General features: G+C 42.5%; 1 annotated feature.

Moving 5' to 3' along the window:
* Positions 4,210-4,933: an enhancer, noted in NCBI's record as "H3K4me1 hESC enhancer chr2:127585337-127586060 (GRCh37/hg19 assembly coordinates)". NCBI's record gives its function as "activates a minimal SCP1, AML or CMV promoter by ChIP-STARR-seq in naive H9 embryonic stem cells {active_cell/tissue: H9 hESC(naive)}" and the evidence as "EXISTENCE:reporter gene assay evidence [ECO:0000049][PMID:30033119]".

Below are 20,949 nucleotides of genomic sequence, written 5' to 3'. Positions count from 1 at the left end.
CAAAGAGCTGTGTGCCAGAGGAGGGGCCTCAGGAGCACAGAAGCTCATCCTTCCCCTCATCTGCTCCCTGCTGAGTCATCCATACAGGGTCGCTGTTTCTGGAGCCAAGAGGTGAATAGAAGCTACCAGATCTCCTTACTTTGCCTCTGTGGAGATCCCAGATGTCTCTCTGCCTCCCAGGCCTGAGGGTCCTTTCTGCAGAAGATGCGACGGTGACAGTGGTAGTGGTGATGCCCACTATTTAATTATCATCTGCTATGTATTATTTCATTTAATCCTCACAACAACTTTGCAAGAGAGGTCTCAGTAGCACCACTTTACAGGTGGGGAAACTGAGGACCAGGGAGATGCAGGGAGTTGCCATAGTCTCACACTGAATAAGCAGTAAAACCAGGTTTCCAAACCAGCCCTCTCCAAGTCTGGAGCCCTGCTGGCCCTTCACTCCCATGACCTCAGCAGCCTGAGCTCTGCACATCTGCTCTGCCAAGTTCATGCACTAGTGGGGAAGGATTGCTTAAAGCAATCTGATTTTTACTGTCTCCTTTAGGATTTTCTGGATTAAAAACAAAATGAAAACAACACACCAAATATTTCACTTTTTTCTAAATTATAAAGTTCAACCTGGAAATGTTTGGGAATTTTTGTCTGAGGGTTTAAGGGAAGAGACCAACATTTACCAAGAGCCTCTATTGTGCCCGTCACTTTTCATATGCCATGACATGTCATCCTCACGTCAAGCTCAAGTGGGGCCAGCCTTCTTATCCTGTCGTCAGATGAGTAGACTGCGGTTGGGGAAGGTGTGGCCAGCAGTGGGGTGGGCTTTCAATCCGGCTGCTATGATTACAGAGCCTGTGTGTTCCTTTCTCTCTGTTGTGCTGCTCCCAGAGGGCAGCCCATGGCTCCACCAGCTGTGTATGGTGGAAGTAGGAGCTTCTGTGTCTTAGGGTTGCCGTGAGGATGTGTGACTCACATTAGTGCTTGTGTGGGTTTTGTGTAGAGTCAGAGCTCAATAATAGCAGCCATTGTTATTCTCAGGAAGGAGAAAGTTGGCTCACTCTGCTCCAGGTCACCTAGTGGGGCTGTCTCCAAGCCCATTGTTCTTTTCTCTGTTTTCGCTTGTTTGGAGTTTTCCTTTGTCTCCTGTCGAAAAGGTGAATGACAGAGACCCTACCTGACCTCTGTGGCCTCTCGCATCAGGGCTCAGGACACAGTGCCGAGGAGACCAGGACCCTGGTTCAGTAGCCAAATGGTCTTGTTGTCCTTGCCCTGGTTCCTGTCCCTGTATCCCCTCCTCTGGTCCAGCCACCTGGTCACCAGGTGGAGCTAGGCAGGAAACAAAGCTGGCTGTGTGCACCCAGCCTCATTCTACATGGACTTGAGCAGGGACTACTATATCTGCGTCACGTTAATAGAGAACATCACGCGTTCCAATTATCCAGTGTTACATGAGAAACTACCCCAAGTTAGTGCCTTAAAACTACTCATTGTATTATGCTCATTATCTGAGGGTCAGGAATTTGGATAGGGCTCACTGGAGTGACTCTTTTGCTCCATGCAGCATTGACTGGCTATTCTATGAAGACTTTAGGCAGCTGGAGGTTCTAAAAAGGCTTCACTCATGCCTAAAAGGGGCAAAGGGTGGAGAAGGGAGTGGTTGGGCTCAGTGGGACCCCACTTCCTCTCTGTGGAGTCAGAGTTTCTCCAGGTTGTCTTTCTAGCAGGCTAGCAGGACTTCTTACACAGCAACTCAGGGCTCCAAAAACAGGTGTGCCCAGAGATGAGATGTGGAGGTTGCTAGTCTCAAAGCCTGGGCCTGGTTACTGGCGTAGCATGACTTCTGACACATTTAATGGATGAAAGCAAATGCAGAGCCTGCCCAGATTCAAGGAGAGGGAATAAATATTGCATCTCTTCACCAAAGGTGTGTCAAAGAATTTGTGAGCATCGTTTATCCACCGCAAGACTGAAAAATATGTTAGACCCTCATATCCCTCCCAGGGTCTTGCTTCTCTTGCATGTCCCTGGCTCATGACAGAGGCCACTCTTCTCCTCGCACTTGGTGGCAGGCAGCTTTCTTTAGTAAGAGTCTAAGGTATACAATCATCAAAGCTGCTCTCTCATGTGAACCCACAGCCCAGAAATCTGTTCTCAGTTAGTGGAGGATGAGGAGCGTGGGCAAATAAATATCTCATCACGGTTATTGGGAAGCTGCAATTGATCTTTTGGATTCAATTGCAAAAAATTAAGGATGATTTGATTTCAGTCAACTCAATGCAACAGGTGTTTAGCTATGTTTTGGGTCTGATTTTTTTTTTTTTTTGGTTAGACGGAGTCTCACTCTGTCACCAGGCTGGAGTGCAGTGGCATGATCTTGGCTCACTGCAGCCTCCGCCTCCCAGGTTCAAGGGATTCTCTTTCCTCAGCCTCCAGAGTAGCTGGGACTACAGGCACGCACCACCACATCCAGCTACTTTTTTCTTTTTTTTTTTTTGTATTTTTAGTAGAAACGAGGTTTCACCATGTTAGCCAGGATGGTCTCATCTCCTGACTTCATGATCTGCCCACCTCAGCCTCCGAAAGTTCTGGGATTACAGGCGTGAGCCACTGCGCCCGGCCCAGTTGCTTCTTAATAATCCCTTTGGAGTCAGTAACTCTTATATGCATTCAAGTCTTTTGAGATTTCTATTACTTTATTGCCATTCCATCTTTTTGCCACTGTCATAAAGAAATCTGAATTACTATTTCATTCCATTTCAAACCATCCCATCCAAATCATTCCATTCCACTTAGGTTTTCCCAGCCAGCTCAGTTCAACGCATTTCATTCTATCCATTTCATACCATCTCTTCCCAAACTTTCCATCCTATCCCACATTAGTCTATTGTTTGATTCATTTCAAAGTATTGATTCCCCCCACACTATTCATTGGATCAAGTTCATCATTCTAAATATCCCTCCTGGGTATCTGCAAGGTAGAAATACAAGAGAAACCCACCATGTCCTGTCAAGTGAGAGCCGCCCAGGCATGACCAGCCCACCTGACCACCATGCACTGGAGAGGCTGGAGCTAACCGTGGGGCTCACTGGAGAGGCTGGAGCTAACCGGGGTGCTCACTGGAGAGGCTGGAGCTAACCGGGGGGTTCACTGGAGAGGCTGGAGCTAACTGTGGGGCTCACTGGAGAGGCTGGAGCTAACCATGGGGTCCAGGCTCTAATGTGGATGTTTCCACACACCCTGAGAGCTATTGGGGTATCCTCAGATGCAAAGGGCAGTAATTAATGCATGTTATTATTCCTTTGATCACTATTTCTGCACTTTAAAAAGAACTTTAATCTTTTATTATGGATAATTTCAAACACGCCAAGAACTGAGAGACGAGTAATCCTTATATACTCATTACACAAAACAAATCTCATTTCATCCATTCCCTTCTTGAGCATTTTAATAGAAATTCCATGTCATATTATTTCAGCAATAACTGCTTGCATATGTAAGTCTAGCCTCTATTTTAAGCATAGCTACAATACCAAAATAAACCTATCAAATAAACAATTACTCCTTAATACCAGAATGTGTTCAGATTTCTCTGATTGTCTCAAAAATGTCTTTTTATAGTTGGCTGGTTTCTTGTTACATTTGGCTGATTTGTCTTTTATGCCTCTTTTAATCTCCCCTGCTCTTTTTCATGCCTTTTTGTTTGTTTAAGAAACTTGGTCATTAGTCCTGCAGGATTTCAATATTCAGGATTTGGCTCCTTTTGTCATTCTGGTGTTTTTCAAGATGTTATGCCAACTTCTATATTTCTTGCAAATGTACAAATTCCTGTACATATTTTGCCACAATGTACACATTTAAACTTTTTTCTTTTTTATTGTAGTAAATACACAGAACACAAAATGTACCATTTTAAAGTGTATAATTCGGTGGCATTAAATACACTTGCATTGTTGGGCAACCATCACCACCGCTTAGTTGCATAACTTTTCATAACTCCAAACGGAAACCTCATACCCATTAAGAAGTCACCCCCCATTTCCCCCTTGCCCCAGCCCCTGGCAGCCATGAACTGCTTTCTGTCTCTGTAGAGCTGCCTAATCTGGACATTTCATTTAAGTAAAATTACATCAGTTGGCCTTTTGTGTCTGACTTTTCTTTTTTTAATATATTTTTAATTTTAGATTTACAAAAACGTTATGAAGATAGAAAGTTCCCGTATACCCCGCATTTAGTTGTAGATGTTTCTAAACTCATGGATTTTATATATTTAAAGTGTTCTAATCCATTACAGATCTTATTCTTTTTGATGTTTGAATTGCCTTAACTTGGCTAGTGGGAGCCCCCTCAAGTTGGCTTCCGTGTTCTTTTTGATTTATGAACCTAAAGAAGACTAATCCTTTTAGGGTGGCACCTAGAAGCCAGCTGTTGAGTTAGGAAGTGTACATGCCTGGTGCTGGATGAGGAAGGAGAGTGGAGGGGAAGGAGGTAATGAGCTTAGAGTAGTTAAAAAAAAAAAAAAAATAGGATGCCAGCAGGGCAAAGTGGCTCACACCCGTAATCCCAGCACTTTGGAAGGCCAAGGCGGGTGGATCACATGAGGATGGGAGTTCAAGACCAGCCTGACCATCATGGAGAAACTCCGTCTCTGCTAAAAACACAAAATTAGCCGGGCGTGGCGGCGCATGCCTGTAATCCTGGCTACTCCGGAGGCTGAGGCAGGACAATCTTTTGAGCCCAGGAGGTGGAGGTTGTGGTGAGCTGAGATCACGCCATTGCACTCCAGCCTGGGCTATAAGAGTGAAACTCTGTCTCATTAAAAAAAAAGAAAAGAAAAAAGAAAAAAAAGAAAGAAAAGAAAAAAATAGGATGCCAATTCAATTTCTAGGGAAAACGGCATTTTGTACAATATGCTCTGGAGTTTTGAACTCTGCCAGCACAGCTCCCACTGGGCTGGAGATTCTGTCTTTATTAACAAACCCAAGCTGGCCTTCTTCCTCCAGGGCTGCGGGAAGCCAGGCCTGCGGGGCTAGCTTGCCCAGCCCATTGATAATTAAGCAGGCCCACTGCTGTCTTCCCCTAGAGCTCATCAGCCACAGGCTTTTGGGGGATGATTAGCAAGGGCTGCAGAGCGCCAGGATGCCTCTGCTCGGTTGGGAAGAGCTGCTGCAGTCCCTTCGCATCCAGCATCCAGGATGGCATCAGAGGAGTTGGCAGAGGCCCTGAGCTTGCCTGCCCAGCACCAGTCTGCTGTGTGTGTGCGTGAAGGTGGCCAGAGAGGGAGGACGTGTACTGCAGAGAGGTGCCTGTCCACTGACACGCTTTGTGTTGCAAATTTGGAGTGGTTTCCTCCTTTGATCCTCACAATAGTAACTGTTAAGAATTCTGTATGGCCGAAGATTCCTGTATGCACTTCGGGCATAAGAAGTGAGAATGAGTCCCTATCCTCAAGGAGTTTGTTAGGGAAGCGTTGGGTAGCACTGTCAGGCCATCTAGGAGAAGCTGATAAAAGGAAAAGATCAGACAGCCTGCCATGAGGGCTGAGTTGTGCGGTGCCGGTACCTGTAGCATTTGCAGTAGCAGGCCAGAGAGGGGAGGCAGCATCACCATCATAATCAGCAACATCATTAGCTAGACTGTTAGGCTGTGATATGGGCCCATGCTGGGTTGGCCAGGTGGGGGACCACCTCTCTGCCCTGGGTGTGCACATGTGGTTTCTGGCCTCTGCAGAGGACAATGAGTAATGATGCCATAGGAGATGCAAGGCAGGAGGAGCTCTGGGATAAAGAGAGAGGCTGGAGGCTCACCCAGACAGGCAGTGGAGTAGAGAGTTGTGATGGTGGATGAAGCTCTGGGGCCTCATGGTCCTAGTGTGTGCTATGGGCAGGCCTCAACATCCTCGCCAGCAGATGGAAACTGCCACCTTCTTCTTCTGGGTTGCTGTGGGAATGCAGTGAGAGTGTACTGGGGCCTGGCTCAGGGCAGTTGCTAAATAGGGCTGGCTGGCATGAGTAAAAGTCTCATTGCATATGCTCAGGAGGAAGATGGGGAACCCTGTCAGCTTCCTACAAGAGAAGCATGTTGGGGTGGAATTGCCAGGGCTACTGTGACAAGAGAGATGCACAGTGAGTTTAAGCATGAAGCTCAACCCCTGCAAGGCCACAGAGGAAGAGGAGAAAGTTCTGCCCCAACATCATGGTGAGCCCCCAGATCCACACTCTATGCTCTGCTCCCTGGTTTGAGTGTTCCATGTTATGGGTGCTGTGCTTCCATGTACTTCAGGGAACTTGCAGATCCTGGGCCCCAGCTGCTGCTGATAAAGCCAAAAGGAAGAAAAACCTTTGGTTGTCCTTGTCTTGGTGTGCCACAGCCCCCTCAGCTCCTGAGGCTAATGCACTGATGATCCAGCAGACCTGTCTGTGAGGAGGGCCTGGGCAGGAGATGGGGTGAACCAAGGCTTTGCTTTTAGTTTCTGTCCTGTGTGTCTGGTGAAGCAGGACACAGCCATGTGAAGGTAACAATGGTGTATAATTAGGTATGCCTAATTATCATGTTCTGGTAACACATCATGTATGATGGTGTATAATTAAGTGTCACTGTGTGGCAGTCAAAGAGGGCTTCTTAGAAGAAGGACACCTGAGCCTCATCTCAATGAACAGAGCGGATTTGAATGGAGAGAGTGGAGAGGAGTTCCAGGGGAGTGACAGGAAAATGCACTGGACTTGGAATCAGGAGATCTGATTTTGGCTCAATCACTCATTGACTATGTTCTTTCCTCAAATCACTTCACCTCTTTGAATCTTGGTTTCTTTATCTGTATGATGGCTATGATAATATACAGGGTTGTCATCAGTATTAAATGAGACTGCATTGATCCATAAAGCACCCTGGCCAGTGCCTGGGACACAGAAAGCACCAAAAATGCTAACGCTTTCGGAAAGAACGGGCGTGGGGCTAGCAGGCCTGAATTCAGGGCCCATGGGCAGGGACCATGAATGGGCTACTGAAATTACCTTTAAAAGTTTGTATTTTAGTCTGTTTTGCATTTTTATAATGTAGTACCTGCGGCTGGGCAATTCATAAGAAAAGTGGTTTATTTGGCTCATGATTCTGCAGGCCTCACCAGAAGCCAAGCATGGTACTGGCATCTGCTCAGCTTCTGATCAGGCTCACAGAGATTTTACTTGTAGCAGAAAGCAAAGGGAGCCAATATGTCACATGGTGAGAGAAAGAGCAAGGGAAAAGGAAGGAGGTGCCAGGCTTCTTTAAACAAGCAGCTGTCACATGAACTAACAGAGTGAGAACTCACTCATCGCCATGAGGAGGGCACCAAACCATTCCTGAGAGATTCACCCCCATGATCCACCCCCACCAGGCCCCACCTCCAACACAGGAGGTCACATTTCAATGGGAGAGTTGGAGGAGACACATCCAAACCGTATCAGTTTGTGTATTTGTTCTTTTCTTTTTTTCTGGAATGAGTGTTTCATAGATTTATCAGAATCCCCCCAAAATAAGGAGCCATTGACACAGAGCTTCAGACATTATGAAGTGAGTTTGCTCATGTCATTTGAACCCACAGTGCTCTGCTCAATATACTGAGCAGTTACTATCACCAGCCATGCTTCACAGTTGGAGTAAGTCTCAGAGGGACTTAGGACCGTTATGGCCTCCCACGGGCCTCCTGCCCCAGCTTTTTCCCTATTTCCCTCCCAAGAGCCTGAGTGTCCATTGGAGGACCATGAGCGCCACAGGAAAGGCCCTTGAGGGGCTCACAGCCTCGGCAGAGTCAGACACATGTTCCATCTTCGTGGTCATGCTGGTGACTCATGCATGAACATGTGACCCAGGGGCCTAATCAGAGTGAATTTCCTGATTCGCCACCATGAATTCTTGGACACATACTCTGTGTCTTCCTATGGCCTGGGTCTTTCAGGGGAGATGCCTGGGATTGTCACAGTCATTTTGCTCCTATAAGTGAAGTTATCTTGAGAGTAAAGGTCACCCAGAGGAGAGGGTGGAGCCAAGAATCACTGAGAAGAGGAGCTATTTTCTGGATTAAACTGACCAAATTCACTCTGGACTTCTTCAGTCACATGAATCACAAATTCTCTTTTGTAGGCCAATTTGTGTTTTCTTTTACTTGCAACCGAAAGCCTCTTAGTTGATCCAGGTGCCCCAGTGCATATCACACGACACAGTATTGACAGAACTGAGATGTGAGCCCAACATTCTCTGGCTCCCATTAACGACCATTTGGGTCATGACTCTTCTTAGGTTTGTGGACAGCTCAGCATGGCACACCCCTTGGGTGAGAAGTTCTGACTAATTCACTTCCCAATGGGCAAACAGTGCTTTTAAAATCTGGTTCCCAGGTAAGTTCTATCATTAATTCCAAGGGAGAAGTTGTGATTCTGGTTCCTGGGATTTGATGAACTTTCCACCGTTTCCTTTCTGGAACTCTCAAGATCTGTAGGAAGGATGTCCAGGGCTGGTGGATGGCAGGGCTGAGTGGGGTGGCTGTTCAACCCACTCTCATGCCCTTTTCTCCATCTCTCAAGTGTCCCTGAGCCCCAACCATGGGCACATAGCCAGGGAGGCACCAGGAAGTGAAACACATGCAGGCCCTGTCTGCCCGGTTCACCATCCAGGGGGAGATTTTCGGGGTTGCTGAGCATGGGGAGGCCTGGGGGTGCAGCAGCACTTGGTGGTGAAGCCAAGGCTCATCTGTAGCCACAGGACAGCCCCCACTCAGTGCTTGCTGTGTGCCTCTGTGCTATGGTGGACTGAGTGCGGCAGTGCCATGGGCAGAAAGGAGGTCCCCACCCTGGCTCTTACACAGGAGCAATTGGACCTCAGGCAAGTGAGGGCATTGAAAGCTCATAACCTTCCTTTTCCATGGAATAAATGCATACACTCACAAGAACTCACTTAGTGTTCTAGTGATTACTAAGATAATGTAGATGGCTGCATGTTCTAGTAACTAGCACACACTAGGTACTCCTATGACTTAACATTTTCTGTGCATGCTGATGACACCATGCCTCCCCCCCAATTTATCAAAAACAAAAAGAAACAAACACAGTCACCCCAAAGAATGGTGAGTGTCCAGGTGTGGTGCCCTGTGGTGGTGGAGGAAGGGCTACCTCTTTTTTTGAGTCTTTTTACTTCTAAAAGAAGATTTACCTTCACTTCCCCACTTCTTTGGGAGGGGTACATGGGAGGGAAAACAGAAACACACACACAGTCATGGAGGAAAAGAGAGACAGAGAGAGATGGGCAGAAACACAGAACCAGGAGAGGGAAGAGAGGAGAGGAAATGTGAGAAGTGGAGAAACACATTCAGAGGAAGCTGGCAGAAGGAAGAAAAGCCACCTAAGGTGGTCAGCTGTTGAAAAGATGAGCTTTCTCCAGTACCATCAGGGTGACTAAGGAAGGGTCAAAGTGCCCACGGCCAGGAGGAGGTCCATGGGGTCCAGGGGGCCAGGAGGAGGTCCATGGGCTGGGAGGGCTGCACAGGGCTGGAGGTGGGAAGGCGGGAAGCCTGTTTACCTGGGATCACTCGTCATGCCTGCCCTGGTAATAATGGGTGGGCAGTGAGCCCTTGCCCTTCTGTGGGGCTGAGTCCTCGTGGCTGGAGAGTGTCTGAAAGCATGCATGGCCTGGACAGGGAGGAGGAGCCCCAGGTGGCAGATCGGCCTGCCTCTCTTCCCAGTGTAGACCATTCCTCAGGGCTTGTAGCATGTTTGTGAAAGATTTCTAGCTTTCTTATGTTAGTTAGAGAACAAAACAAAACAATTAGCTTATTATACAATAAAATTTGCTATGTCTCCAGTCCCATGATCATGGATGTGCCCTATTGTCAATATTTCCCTGGTCCCCTTTCTGGTGTCCGAGAAGCCTGGGCAGGTCTGTGTCCTCCTTCCTGGCTGGCCCTGACCAGAGGGACCACCTCTCTTCACACGGTCCAGCCAGGGGCTCTGACTGAGCCACACCCTTCCCTTTGTGGGATTTATGCCCTGTAGGCAACTATCTGTTAATCCTTTCCTACAGTCTTTAAAGTTCACTTTCCTCTTTCCAAAAAACAAATCTCTTCTGAAGTTAGAGGAAGCATCAGTGATTTAAGTGAACAGACTAAATACAAGGGTTCTTAATAAAAGAGTCTCTTAACAGAAGGGTCTAGGGATCTCGCGCTGACAAAACGTGTGTCTTCTCCCACCTAGACACTGGCCTGAGCTGCCTCAAATTTTAATTCCTCAAATGCTGAAGGTGTTTTCCCCGCTGAGATCATACTATGATCTGATTTTTTCCTCTGAATACCAACTGGGTCCAGACACTAACAATTCAATTTATTGCTGACACTAAGTACCGTGACGTAGCACAGATCCCACAGGATAAGGGCTCAGTCCCTTGAGACTGCCCCCCACTTCAGATGCCAATTGCAAGTCTGTGCCCATAACCGCCTCCTCGTGTTTATTAGTTTGCTATAATGGCTCACAGAGCTCAGAAAAGTACTTTCCTTACTACTACTGTTTTTTTTTTTAATCTCATATGCAATTTATTTATTTACTTTTGTTTCTTTCTCTTCTGTCTAGCTGAAATTTTCTAGCCTTTGGTCAGCATGTCCCCATTTCTCCCGCCCAGCCTCTGGTAGCCACTGTTCTACTCTTTGCTCCTATGTGTTAGACATTTTTAGATTCCACATATGCGTGATACCATGTGGTATTTTGCATTTCTTGTGCAATAACTTTTTTAGGAGTAAATTGTTGGCTCTTTTAAAATAAAATTAATTAGCTTTCTGTGTACCTGTGACTAATTTTTCCCATATTTGTGAGCAATCTGAATGTCTCAATCTGGTCTGGCAATTAGGTACTCCGTCAGTTCTTAGCACCTTCCCTCTTGGAGCCTCCTACCCTCAAACTTCCATTCAGACAGGCTGCACTAGGCCATGCACACAGCTGTTGCTCAGGAACTTCCTTTCACTATTTTTATCTTAACCTTCCAAAGGCTTAAGAAAATGTTTGAGACATGAAATACAATTTTGGCTCCAATAATTGCAACTTATAAATAAACAAACAGCTAACTAAGTTGCATATTAGCATGTCAACCAGTTGATTGCAACTCAACACAACTGAACTCCACATTTCCGTAAGCAGCTCTTTGATTCTGATTCAATCTGCACGTGTAGCTAGATCCTGAGACATCCCTGAAGATATCCACAAGGCAGTTCTTTCACATGGGTGATGCTGCTCTGGCAAACAGAAAGATCTGAACAGGTTGGTTCCTATCCCCACAGAGAAGGTTAATCTCAAAGAGAAGTTTAACCCAACGGGAAGGTCAAGTTTTTGGAGTTATCTTCTTGCTATTCCCATATCTGACTCTTCGCTTCATTTTCTCACCTGCCACTGTTACCAGTCTCATTCTTCTGGTGTAATCCACGTGCATTTTCTAAGATTCTGGCTCATATCCTGGTTCTAACCTTTAACTCTCCTTCTTGGACAAGGGATTCTATAAATGACCTTGTGGGTGTTGGCTGTATTGACCAAAGTGGCCTCCAGCTCCTCCCTCCTGGGCTTAGCTCTTCCTGTGTCTCTGAGGAGAGAACAGATCCGGAAATTGATCTTTCCAGTTAGTTCATTTCACTGAGAATATTGTCACATGGAATTTTGGACATCTTCCCTTTGCTCCCCAGATACATTCTCCACCCATCTCCACCCGATTCTTAGTCCTAGGAAGCAGATATGCATGCACTATGTCACCCAGCCCCTCTTGCCTTCTGCTTCCAGTTGGATTTGGCTGATGGGGGCTCTGCAGGAGGTCTTCAGGCAGAGTCAGAGTGAGATTGGGTGACTCCTGTCAAGGTGACCTTTTATACAGCTCTTTTGGCTCTGGAAGCTCTTCCCTCTCCTTACTGGCTAGCCATCTAGCTGTTTGTAATGTAAAAAGTAAAATAAAAGTCAGAAGCCTTGGGATTTCTGTAGAAGATCATGTAGCCTGTTGGACCTAGGAAGATCAGAAATGTCACATCCTTCTTGTAACTTAATTTTTGAGACTCCATTTTGCTGAAGACGCACATATATAATTTTAGTCAAACTGGTGTTCCTCCATTTTCTTTGAATTTGGACTTACTTTCTTTGGTTATTAGGTTGGGAGTTAAAAAGTCTCAGTGTGATCTGCTTATAGTAGCCCTTGTTGAGCTGTCTGTCTTCAGTGGTCATTCTGCTGAGGACACTGCTAACCCATCCCTTATTGTGACTTCCAGGATACTTTCAGGCCTGCCTCTCTTCCTCTAAACACAACACATCACCTTTCTTCCTTGAGACCTTGACCTTATTCTGGTGTTGTTCCTGGGAAGTAAAATAAATTTTTCCCTTGGCTGTTGATTATCTTAAACCTAGCTGGAGGTTCTGTTGTTTTCTACCTAGAAGGGAGTAAGGTTTCTTTCTCAGGGACTTTTAAAATCTCAGCTCTCACCCCTTCCCCCTAGACTAAAACATTCTTCCCCAGTTTGAGGGGTGGAAAATGGAAAACTCTTGTTACATTTCCTTCTGGATGCTTCTAAATCTATTATATTTGGCCTAAGCCATTCTTCTTCCCTTCAGAGCCCACAGTCTTTGGAAACTAAAAATCAAGAAAGAGTCTAGATGATCTAGGAAGGAAGCTGGAGGAGATAGGAGGATCAAGAGACAGACTGGAGGGACACATGGGTTACTCTCTTAAATATTTCATCGTTCTCCTACCCCACCCCTAACTGCACTCTTTTGGGTCACATGAGGGAGAAATGCTAAGGAAAGGTAAGAAATAATTGAATAGTTCACAACCCAGAAGGGGAGAAACTGAGGGTACAGAGCCTGGGGAAGAGAGGTTAAGGAAGTGTTTCCCGGGAGATAGAGGGCTTGAGCTCAGCTCCATTGAAGGGCTACAAGAACCCTGGCCGCAAACATATTCACCAAGAATGAAGCCCTATGTCAGGACTGGATAAGACTGAGCCTTTCTCAGAGGCCAGGAACAAGTAGAAGCAAAAACGGGCCAGATGCAATGGCTCACACCTGTAATCTCAGTACTTTGGGAAGCTGAGGCAAGAGGACTGCTTGGGCCCAGGAGTTTGAGACCAGCCTGGACAACACAGGGGGACCCCATCTCCAAAGAATGTTTTTAAAAAATTAGCCAGACGTGGTGGATGCCTGTGTTTGCAGTTACTTAGGAGGCTGAGGTGGGAGGAGGATTGCTTGAACCTGGGAGCTCAAGGCCACAATGAGCCATGATTACATCACTGCACTCCAGCCTGGGTGACAGGGAAAGACTCTGTCTCAAAAAAAAAAAAAAAAAAAAAAAAAGAAAAGAAAACAGTCCCTTGTAAACCCCAAAAGGTGAGAAGACAGGGTAGTTATCAGGTTTTAAGATTTGGGCCCAGGACCATGGACAGGAGCATAAACATTAACACTAACTTTTATGGGGGACTTATGACATGCTAGGTACTAAGGGTTGCTCATTTAGTCCTTACAATAACCCAAGGAGGCACTACGTAGAATCATTTCCACTTTTTAAATAGAAAACTGAGAATGGAGAACTTGGTATCCTAATTGGGGTCACAGAGTAATTAAGTGAAATAATAGGATTTGACGGTCAGGTGTGGTGGCTCACACCTGTAATTCCAGAACTTTGGGAGGCCAAGGCGGGTGGATCGCCTGAGGTCAGGAGTTTGAGATCAGCCTGGCCAACATGGTAAAACCCCGTCTCTATTAAAAATACAAAAAATTAGCCAGGCGGGCGTGGTGGTGCATGCCTGTAATCTCAGCTACTCAGGAGGCTGAGGCAGGACAATAGCTTGAACCAGGGAAGCAGAGGTTGTAGTAAGCCGAGATCATGCCATTGTACTCTAGTCTGGGTGGCAAGAGTGAAACTCTGTCTCAAAAGAAAAAAAAAAAAAGAATATGGTTTGGCTGCAGTTCTGTCTGCTGCTAAACCTGGGTCTTAATTATCTTGCCTTTGTGTTACCTGCTCTTACTCTTGCATCAGAGAAATGGGGTGGATGAGTAGTGACAGATTCAGGAGTGAGGTGATAGCAGTGATAATCAAGGATGATAATAAAAAATGTTAAAGGCTAACATCACTGAATAGATCCTATGTTCCATGAACTCCCAGGCTTTGTACATATCTTCACTTCCTTCTATATTTTCAGAAGCAAAGACTAAGAGAGTTGATTAGTGGGGTGTCTCACACAAAGCAAATTAAACAATTTCAGCTTCTCCTACTTCCCAGAATTGGAGTTCAATTAATTAGTAGGTCTTCAGATGCTTGACATTGGCTGTACTAGAACTCTATTAAATTACTATAGACCTGTTCTTCAAAAGAATCTGTTACCTCAGAGGTCAGTAAAATGGTGAAATAGATAGCTATGAGCATTTGTATCCTCATAGAAACACTGAAAAACAAACAAAACTGGTCAGAACCAACTTTGTCAGAACTTTGGAAAACAGAAAAATTCCCAGCAACCAAATGAATGCTAAATTTTAAAAAAAAGGCAATTTAAAAACTGCTCCTGGCACTCAAGAAAATATCCATCAAAACACAAGTTGATCATAAGGAGCAGAGATTTTAGTAACTACACATGAAAATAGTCATTGCAAAAATTATTTGCAAAAGTCATTAAAAGGACTACTACAGACTTCAACAATTAAGAAAACACAGTAAACCCTGAGGAAGAAAGAGGATCTCATTTCCAGAGCTATCATACTATAATATTCAAATATTCAGCTTTCCACATAAGAAATCACAAGGTATACAAAGAAATAGGAAAGTATGGCTTATTCAAAGGAACAAAATAAATTAAAAGAAACCATTTCTGGGCAAGACCAGACATTCAACATACTTGACAAAGGTTTTAAATAACTGGCTTAAACAGACTCAAAGAACAACAACAACAAAAAAAAAACATGAACAAAGAATAAAGGAAATAAATACATGAAATATTAAAACTTAGAATATCTAAAAAGACATTATTAAAAAGAACCAATCAGAAATTCTGAAGTTAAAAAGTACAATAACTGAAATTAAAAACAATCCAGAAATATTCAACAGAAGATTTTAGTAGACAGACGCAGGTATCAGTGAACTTGAAGATAGAATAATTGAAGATATCAAGTATGAAGAGAAAAAAATAATGAAGAAACATGAACCGAACCTAAGGAATATGTGGAACACCAACAGGTATGTGTATGTGTGTGTGTGTGTGTGCGTGTGTGTGTGTATTTTACCGAAGTCCTAGACAGAGATGACAAAAATAAAGGAGCAGAAAGAATATTTAAAGAAATAATGGCCAAAAACTTCCCAAGTCTGCTGAAAGACATGCATCTATATATTCTAAAAGCTCAACAAACTGCAAGGAAAACTTGTAGCTTGTTTGTGCTATCCATCATGTGAGGACACAACAAGAAAGCACCATCTATGAACCAGAAGAGCAAACCCTCACTAGGGCACCAAACTAGACACCAAATCTGTTAGCCTCTTGACATGGGACTTCCTAAATGTGAACTGTGAGAAATAAATTTCTATTGTTTATAAAAAAAAAAAAAGAAAAACTCCAAGGAACTCACACTGAGACATATTATAATCAAACTGTTGAAAGTCAAAGAGTCTTGAAAGCAGCAGGAGAGTAGTGACTTATCCTATACAAGTAATCTTCAATAAAATTAACATCCAATTTCTCATCAGAAACCATGGATGCCAAAGGGAGTGGAATGATATATTCAAAGTGCTGAAAGAAAAAAAATATGTCAACTGAGAATTCTAAATACAGCAAAACCTTCCATAAACAACAATTAAGACTTTCCCAGATAAAAAGATAAAGCTGAAGTTTTGTTGTTATTGTTTTTTTTTACCACTAGGCCTGTTCCACAAAAAAAGCCAAGGGGACTCCTCTGGGTTGAAAAGAAATGACACTAGACATTCATTAGAAATGCATATAGGGCTGTGCGCGGTGGTTCATGCCTGTTAATCCCAGCACTTAGGGAGGCCGAGGTGGGCAGATCACCTGAGGTCGGGAGTTCAAGACCAGCCTGACCAACATGAAGAAACACTACTAAAAATACAAAATGAGTCAGGCGGTGGTGGTGCATGCCTGTAATCCCAGCTGCTCGGGAGGCTGAGGCAGGAGAATTGCTTGAACCTGGGAGGTAGAGGTTGCAGTGAGCCGAGATCATGCCATTGCACTCCAGCCTAGGCAACAAGAGCGAACCTCTGTTTCAAAAAAATAAATAAATAAATAAATAAATAGATATGCATATAAAGAGATAAAGATCTCCAGTAAAGGTAAATACACAGGCAAATATAAAAGCCACTATTTCCATATTATTAGTTTGTAAATCCACTTTTCATTTCCTATATCCTTTAAAGCACAAATGCATAGAAACTAATTAAAAATCTACATTCTTGGGCACCTAATATATAAATTTAATTTGTGACAACAACAACATGTATAGGAGGAGAGTATTTGTATGCTATTAAAGTTAAGTTGCTATAAATTCAATTAGACTGTTACAAATTTAGGTTGTTAAATATGGTCATGATGGAAATCACAAAGAAAATATTTAAAAAACACACAGAAGGAAATAAGAATAGATTCAAATTATTTCACAAAAAAGTCAACCAAACACAAAATAAGCAGTAATATAGGAAATGAGAGGCAAAAAATACATAAGACATACAGAAAACAAATAGAAAATGGTAGAAGTAAGTCCTCCCTTTTTTTTTTGAGATGGTGTCTTGCTTTATTGCCCAGGCAGGAGTGCAGTGGTGCGATCTCAGCTCACTGCAACCTCTGCCACCTGGGTTCAAGTGATTCTCCTGCTTCAGCCCCCCTGAGTAGCTGCGATTACAGGCATGTGCCACCATGCCTGGCTAGTTTTTGTATTTTTTAATAGAGATGGGGTTTCACTATGTTGGTCAGGCTGGTCTCAAACCCGACCCCATGATCTGCCCGCCTCCGCCTCCCAAGTCCTGGGATTACAGGCATGAGCCACCGTGCCTGGCCGAAGTAAGCCCTTCCTAATCATCAGTGATTTTAATTTTAAATGGATTAAACTATCCAGTCAAAAGAGACTGTCAGGGTAGTTTGAAAAACATAATCTAGCTATATGCTATCTACAAGAGATTCACTTTAGTTCTAAGGACATAAGTAGGCTGAAAGTAAAAGATGGAAAAAGATATTTTATTCAAATAGTAACTCAAAGGGAGGTGGATGTCTATATTAATATTAGGCAAAATAGGCTTTAAGTCAGAAACTTCTACAAGAGACAAAAAAGAGTATTATATAACAACAAAAGGCAAAATTCATTAAAAAGCATAACAGTTATAAACATATATGAATCAAACAAAAAAGCCCCAAAATATAGGAAGTAAACACTGACAGACTCAAAGGGATAAACAGTCCTAAAATGAGAGTTGGAAACTTCTACTATTTTCAGTTGTGGATAGAACATCTAGACAGAAGAGCAGTAGGAAAACAGAGGGCTTGAAAAACATTATAAGCTAATTAGACCTACAGATAAATATAGAACCTTCCATTCCCAAACAGCAGAATATACATTCATCTCAAGTGTACATGGAACATTTTCCAGAAGAGACCACACGTAAGGCCACAAAATGAGTCTCAATAAATAAAAAAAAATTAAAATCACACAAAGTATCTTTTCAGACAACAATGGCATAAAGATAGAAATCAGTAAAAGAAGGAATATTGGAAAGTTCATAGACATGTGGAAATTAAACAATACACTTTTAAATAACCAATGGATCAAATAATAAATCACTGAGAAAATAAAAAAACTTAGAGATAAATGTAAAGAAAAGCAAAACACACAAAAATTATGGGATGCAGCAACAGCAGTGCTTAAAGGGAAACTTACAACTGTAAATTCCCATTGAAAAAGAAGAAAAATCTCAAATCCAAAACCTAAGCAAAAGAAAACAAAACATACCAAAATTATGGGATGCAGCAAAAGCAGCGCTCAGAGGGAAACTTCCCATTAACAAAGAAGAAAGATAAAAAAAGTCCGTAACCTAACTTTACACTTTGAGGGACTAAAAAACCAAACTAAAGTCAAAGCTAGTAGAAGAAAAGAAATACTAGATATTCAAGCACAGATTATAGACATAGGGAATAGGCTGGGTGTGGTGGCTCATGCCTGTAATCCCAGCACTTTGGGAAGTCCAGGGGGATGGATCACTTGAGGCCAGAAATTTGAGACCAGCCTGGCCAACATGGTGAAACCCCATCTCTACTTAAAGAGAGAGAGAGAGAGAGAGAATAAAAAGCAATATAAATGATCAATGAAATCAACTGTTGGTTCTTTGAAAGAACAATAAAACAACAAACTTCCAGCAAGATGAGAGAGGAGGGAGGGAGAGAGGGAGACAGACAGACAGAGAGAGAGAGAGGACACAACTAAAATAGAAAATGAGAGTGGGGACATTATTACTGATCTTAATAAAAAAGAAATAAAAGAGTACTATGCACAACTGTATACAAATGAGATAACCTAGTTGAAAGGGAAAAATTCCTAGAAACATACAAAATTACAAAATTTGACTCAAGAAAAAATATAAATTCTGGACAGACTTATAACAAGAGTTTGAATAGGTAATAAAAAACCTCCCAACAAAGAAATCCGAGGACCTGTTGGCTTCTCTTGTGAGTTCTACCAAAGAGGAATGAATTAATACTAATCATTTGAAAATGCTTCCAAAACATAGATGAGGAGGTAGCACTTCCTACTTGATTCTATGAAAACAGCATTACCCTGACACTAAAGTCAGATAAAGACATCAAATGACATGAAAGTTATAGACCAATATACACTATTAATATAGATGAAAAAGCATAAATAAAGTAATAGCAAAGTGAACCTAACAGCATATTAAAATGATTATACACCATGTTTAAGTGGGATTTATCTGAGGAATGCAAGGGTGGTTCAACATAAGAAAAACGATCAGTGTAATACATCATATGGATAGCAAAAAGGAAAAAACAATATGTGACTATCTCAGTTGATACAGAAAAGTAATCTGAGAAAATCCAGTCTCCTTTCACTATAAAAACACTCAGAAAATTAAGAAGAGAAGAAAACTTGTTAATATTTTAAATGATATTTATTAAAAACCCACAGATAGCATCATACTCAATGGTGAAAGACTAAAAGCTTTCTCCATAAGATCAGAAACAAGACAGGGATGCTCAATTTTACCACTGCTATTCAGCACTGTACTGGAAGTTCTAGCCAGAGAATTAGACAAGAAAAAGAAATAAAAGACATTCAAGTCGGGAAGAAAGAAGGAAAACTGTTTCTATTCACAGATAATATGGTCATATATGTAGAAAACACCTAAGTATCTAGGCACAAGCTCAGCCCATAAGGATCAGTTGTTTCTGTCCACCAGCAATAAACAATTCAAAAAGGAAATGAGGAAACAATTTTATATAAAATAGCATCTAAAAGAATAAAATACTTAGGAATAAATTCAACTAAGGAAGTGAAAAACTTGTACACTGAAAATTATAAAACATTGCTTAAAGAAATTAAAGAAGATCTAAATAAATGGAAAGACAGTCCATGTTTATGGATAGAAAGACAATATTGTTAAGATGTCAATACTCTTAAAAGCAATCTACAAATTCAATGCAAGCTCTATCAAAATCAGACTTTTTGTTGTTGTTACAGAAATGAAAAAAGCCACTCCTCAAATTCATATGGAATTGCATGGGACTCTGCATAGCCGAAACAAACTTGAAAAAGAAGAGCAAAGTTACAGGTTTCACACTTCTCAATTTCAAAACTTATTACAAAGCTACAGTAACCAAAACAATGTGGCACTTGCATAAGAATAGACATAATAGGCTCATGCCTCTAATCCCAGCACTTTGGGAGGCTGAGGCAAGCGGATCACCTGAGATCAGAAGTTCGAGACCAGCCTGTCCAACATGGCAAAACCCTGTCTCTACTAAAAACAGAAAAAAATTAGCAGGTCATGGTGGCAGGTGGCTGTGATCCCAGCTACTCGGGAGGCTGAGACAGGAGAATTGCTGGAACCCATGAGATGGAGGTTGCAGTGAGCTGAGATCACACCACTGCACTCCAGCCTGGGCAAGAAGAGTGTGACTCCATCTCAAAAAAAAAAAAAAAAAAAAAAAAAAGACATAATAGACTAGAGGAATATAATTTAGAGCCCAGAAATAAATAAACTCATACATCTATGGGCAATTGAATTTTGATAAGAGTGGCAAGTCTCATCAATGAGAACAGAATAGTTTCTTTAACAAATAGTATTGGTGTAATTAGATTTCAAAATGCAAAATAATGAAGTTGGACTTCTACTTCCCTATACAAATATACCCCACCATATAGAAAAATTAACAAAAAATATATTAATGATCTAAATCTAAGCGCTAAAGCCCTTAAAAGAAAACAGGGATAGATCTTCATGACTGTGTAATTGGCAAGGAATTCTTAGAACACCAAAAGCATAAGCAACAAAAGATAAAGTGGATTAATTAGTTTTCATCAAAATTAAAAACTTTTGTTCACCAAAGGATATTATCAATAAAGTAAAATGGCAAACTACACAATGAAAGAGAATATTTTCAAATCATATATCTGATCAGAGGTTTTAAGGAAAAAATTATGTATGATACTTTTAAAGGTGGAAATGCAGACTTTATTCAAGGGTGCCATGGAGATAAGTACAGAGAGCTCTGCCACAGGGTCTTGCAGTGGGAGAGACAGACTGGATTCAATTCTGAGTTCAGCAAAGACAAGTGGGAATTTATAACCAAGGAGCAGGGTTGAGGTCAGCGGATGGAAAATGATTGAGAGGAAATATCAAGTATATGGGGCTTCTGATTAAACTGACTTAGCAGGATCTTTTTCTCAAACTAGATTCCACAAGGACAGAGA

The sequence above is a fragment of the Homo sapiens genome, chromosome 2 (genome assembly GCF_000001405.40).
Source record: "Homo sapiens chromosome 2, GRCh38.p14 Primary Assembly".
Classification (NCBI taxonomy): domain Eukaryota; kingdom Metazoa; phylum Chordata; class Mammalia; order Primates; family Hominidae; genus Homo; species Homo sapiens.
The sequence above is the reverse complement of the archived record's forward strand: the minus strand, read 5'-3'. Positions and strand labels throughout refer to the sequence as shown.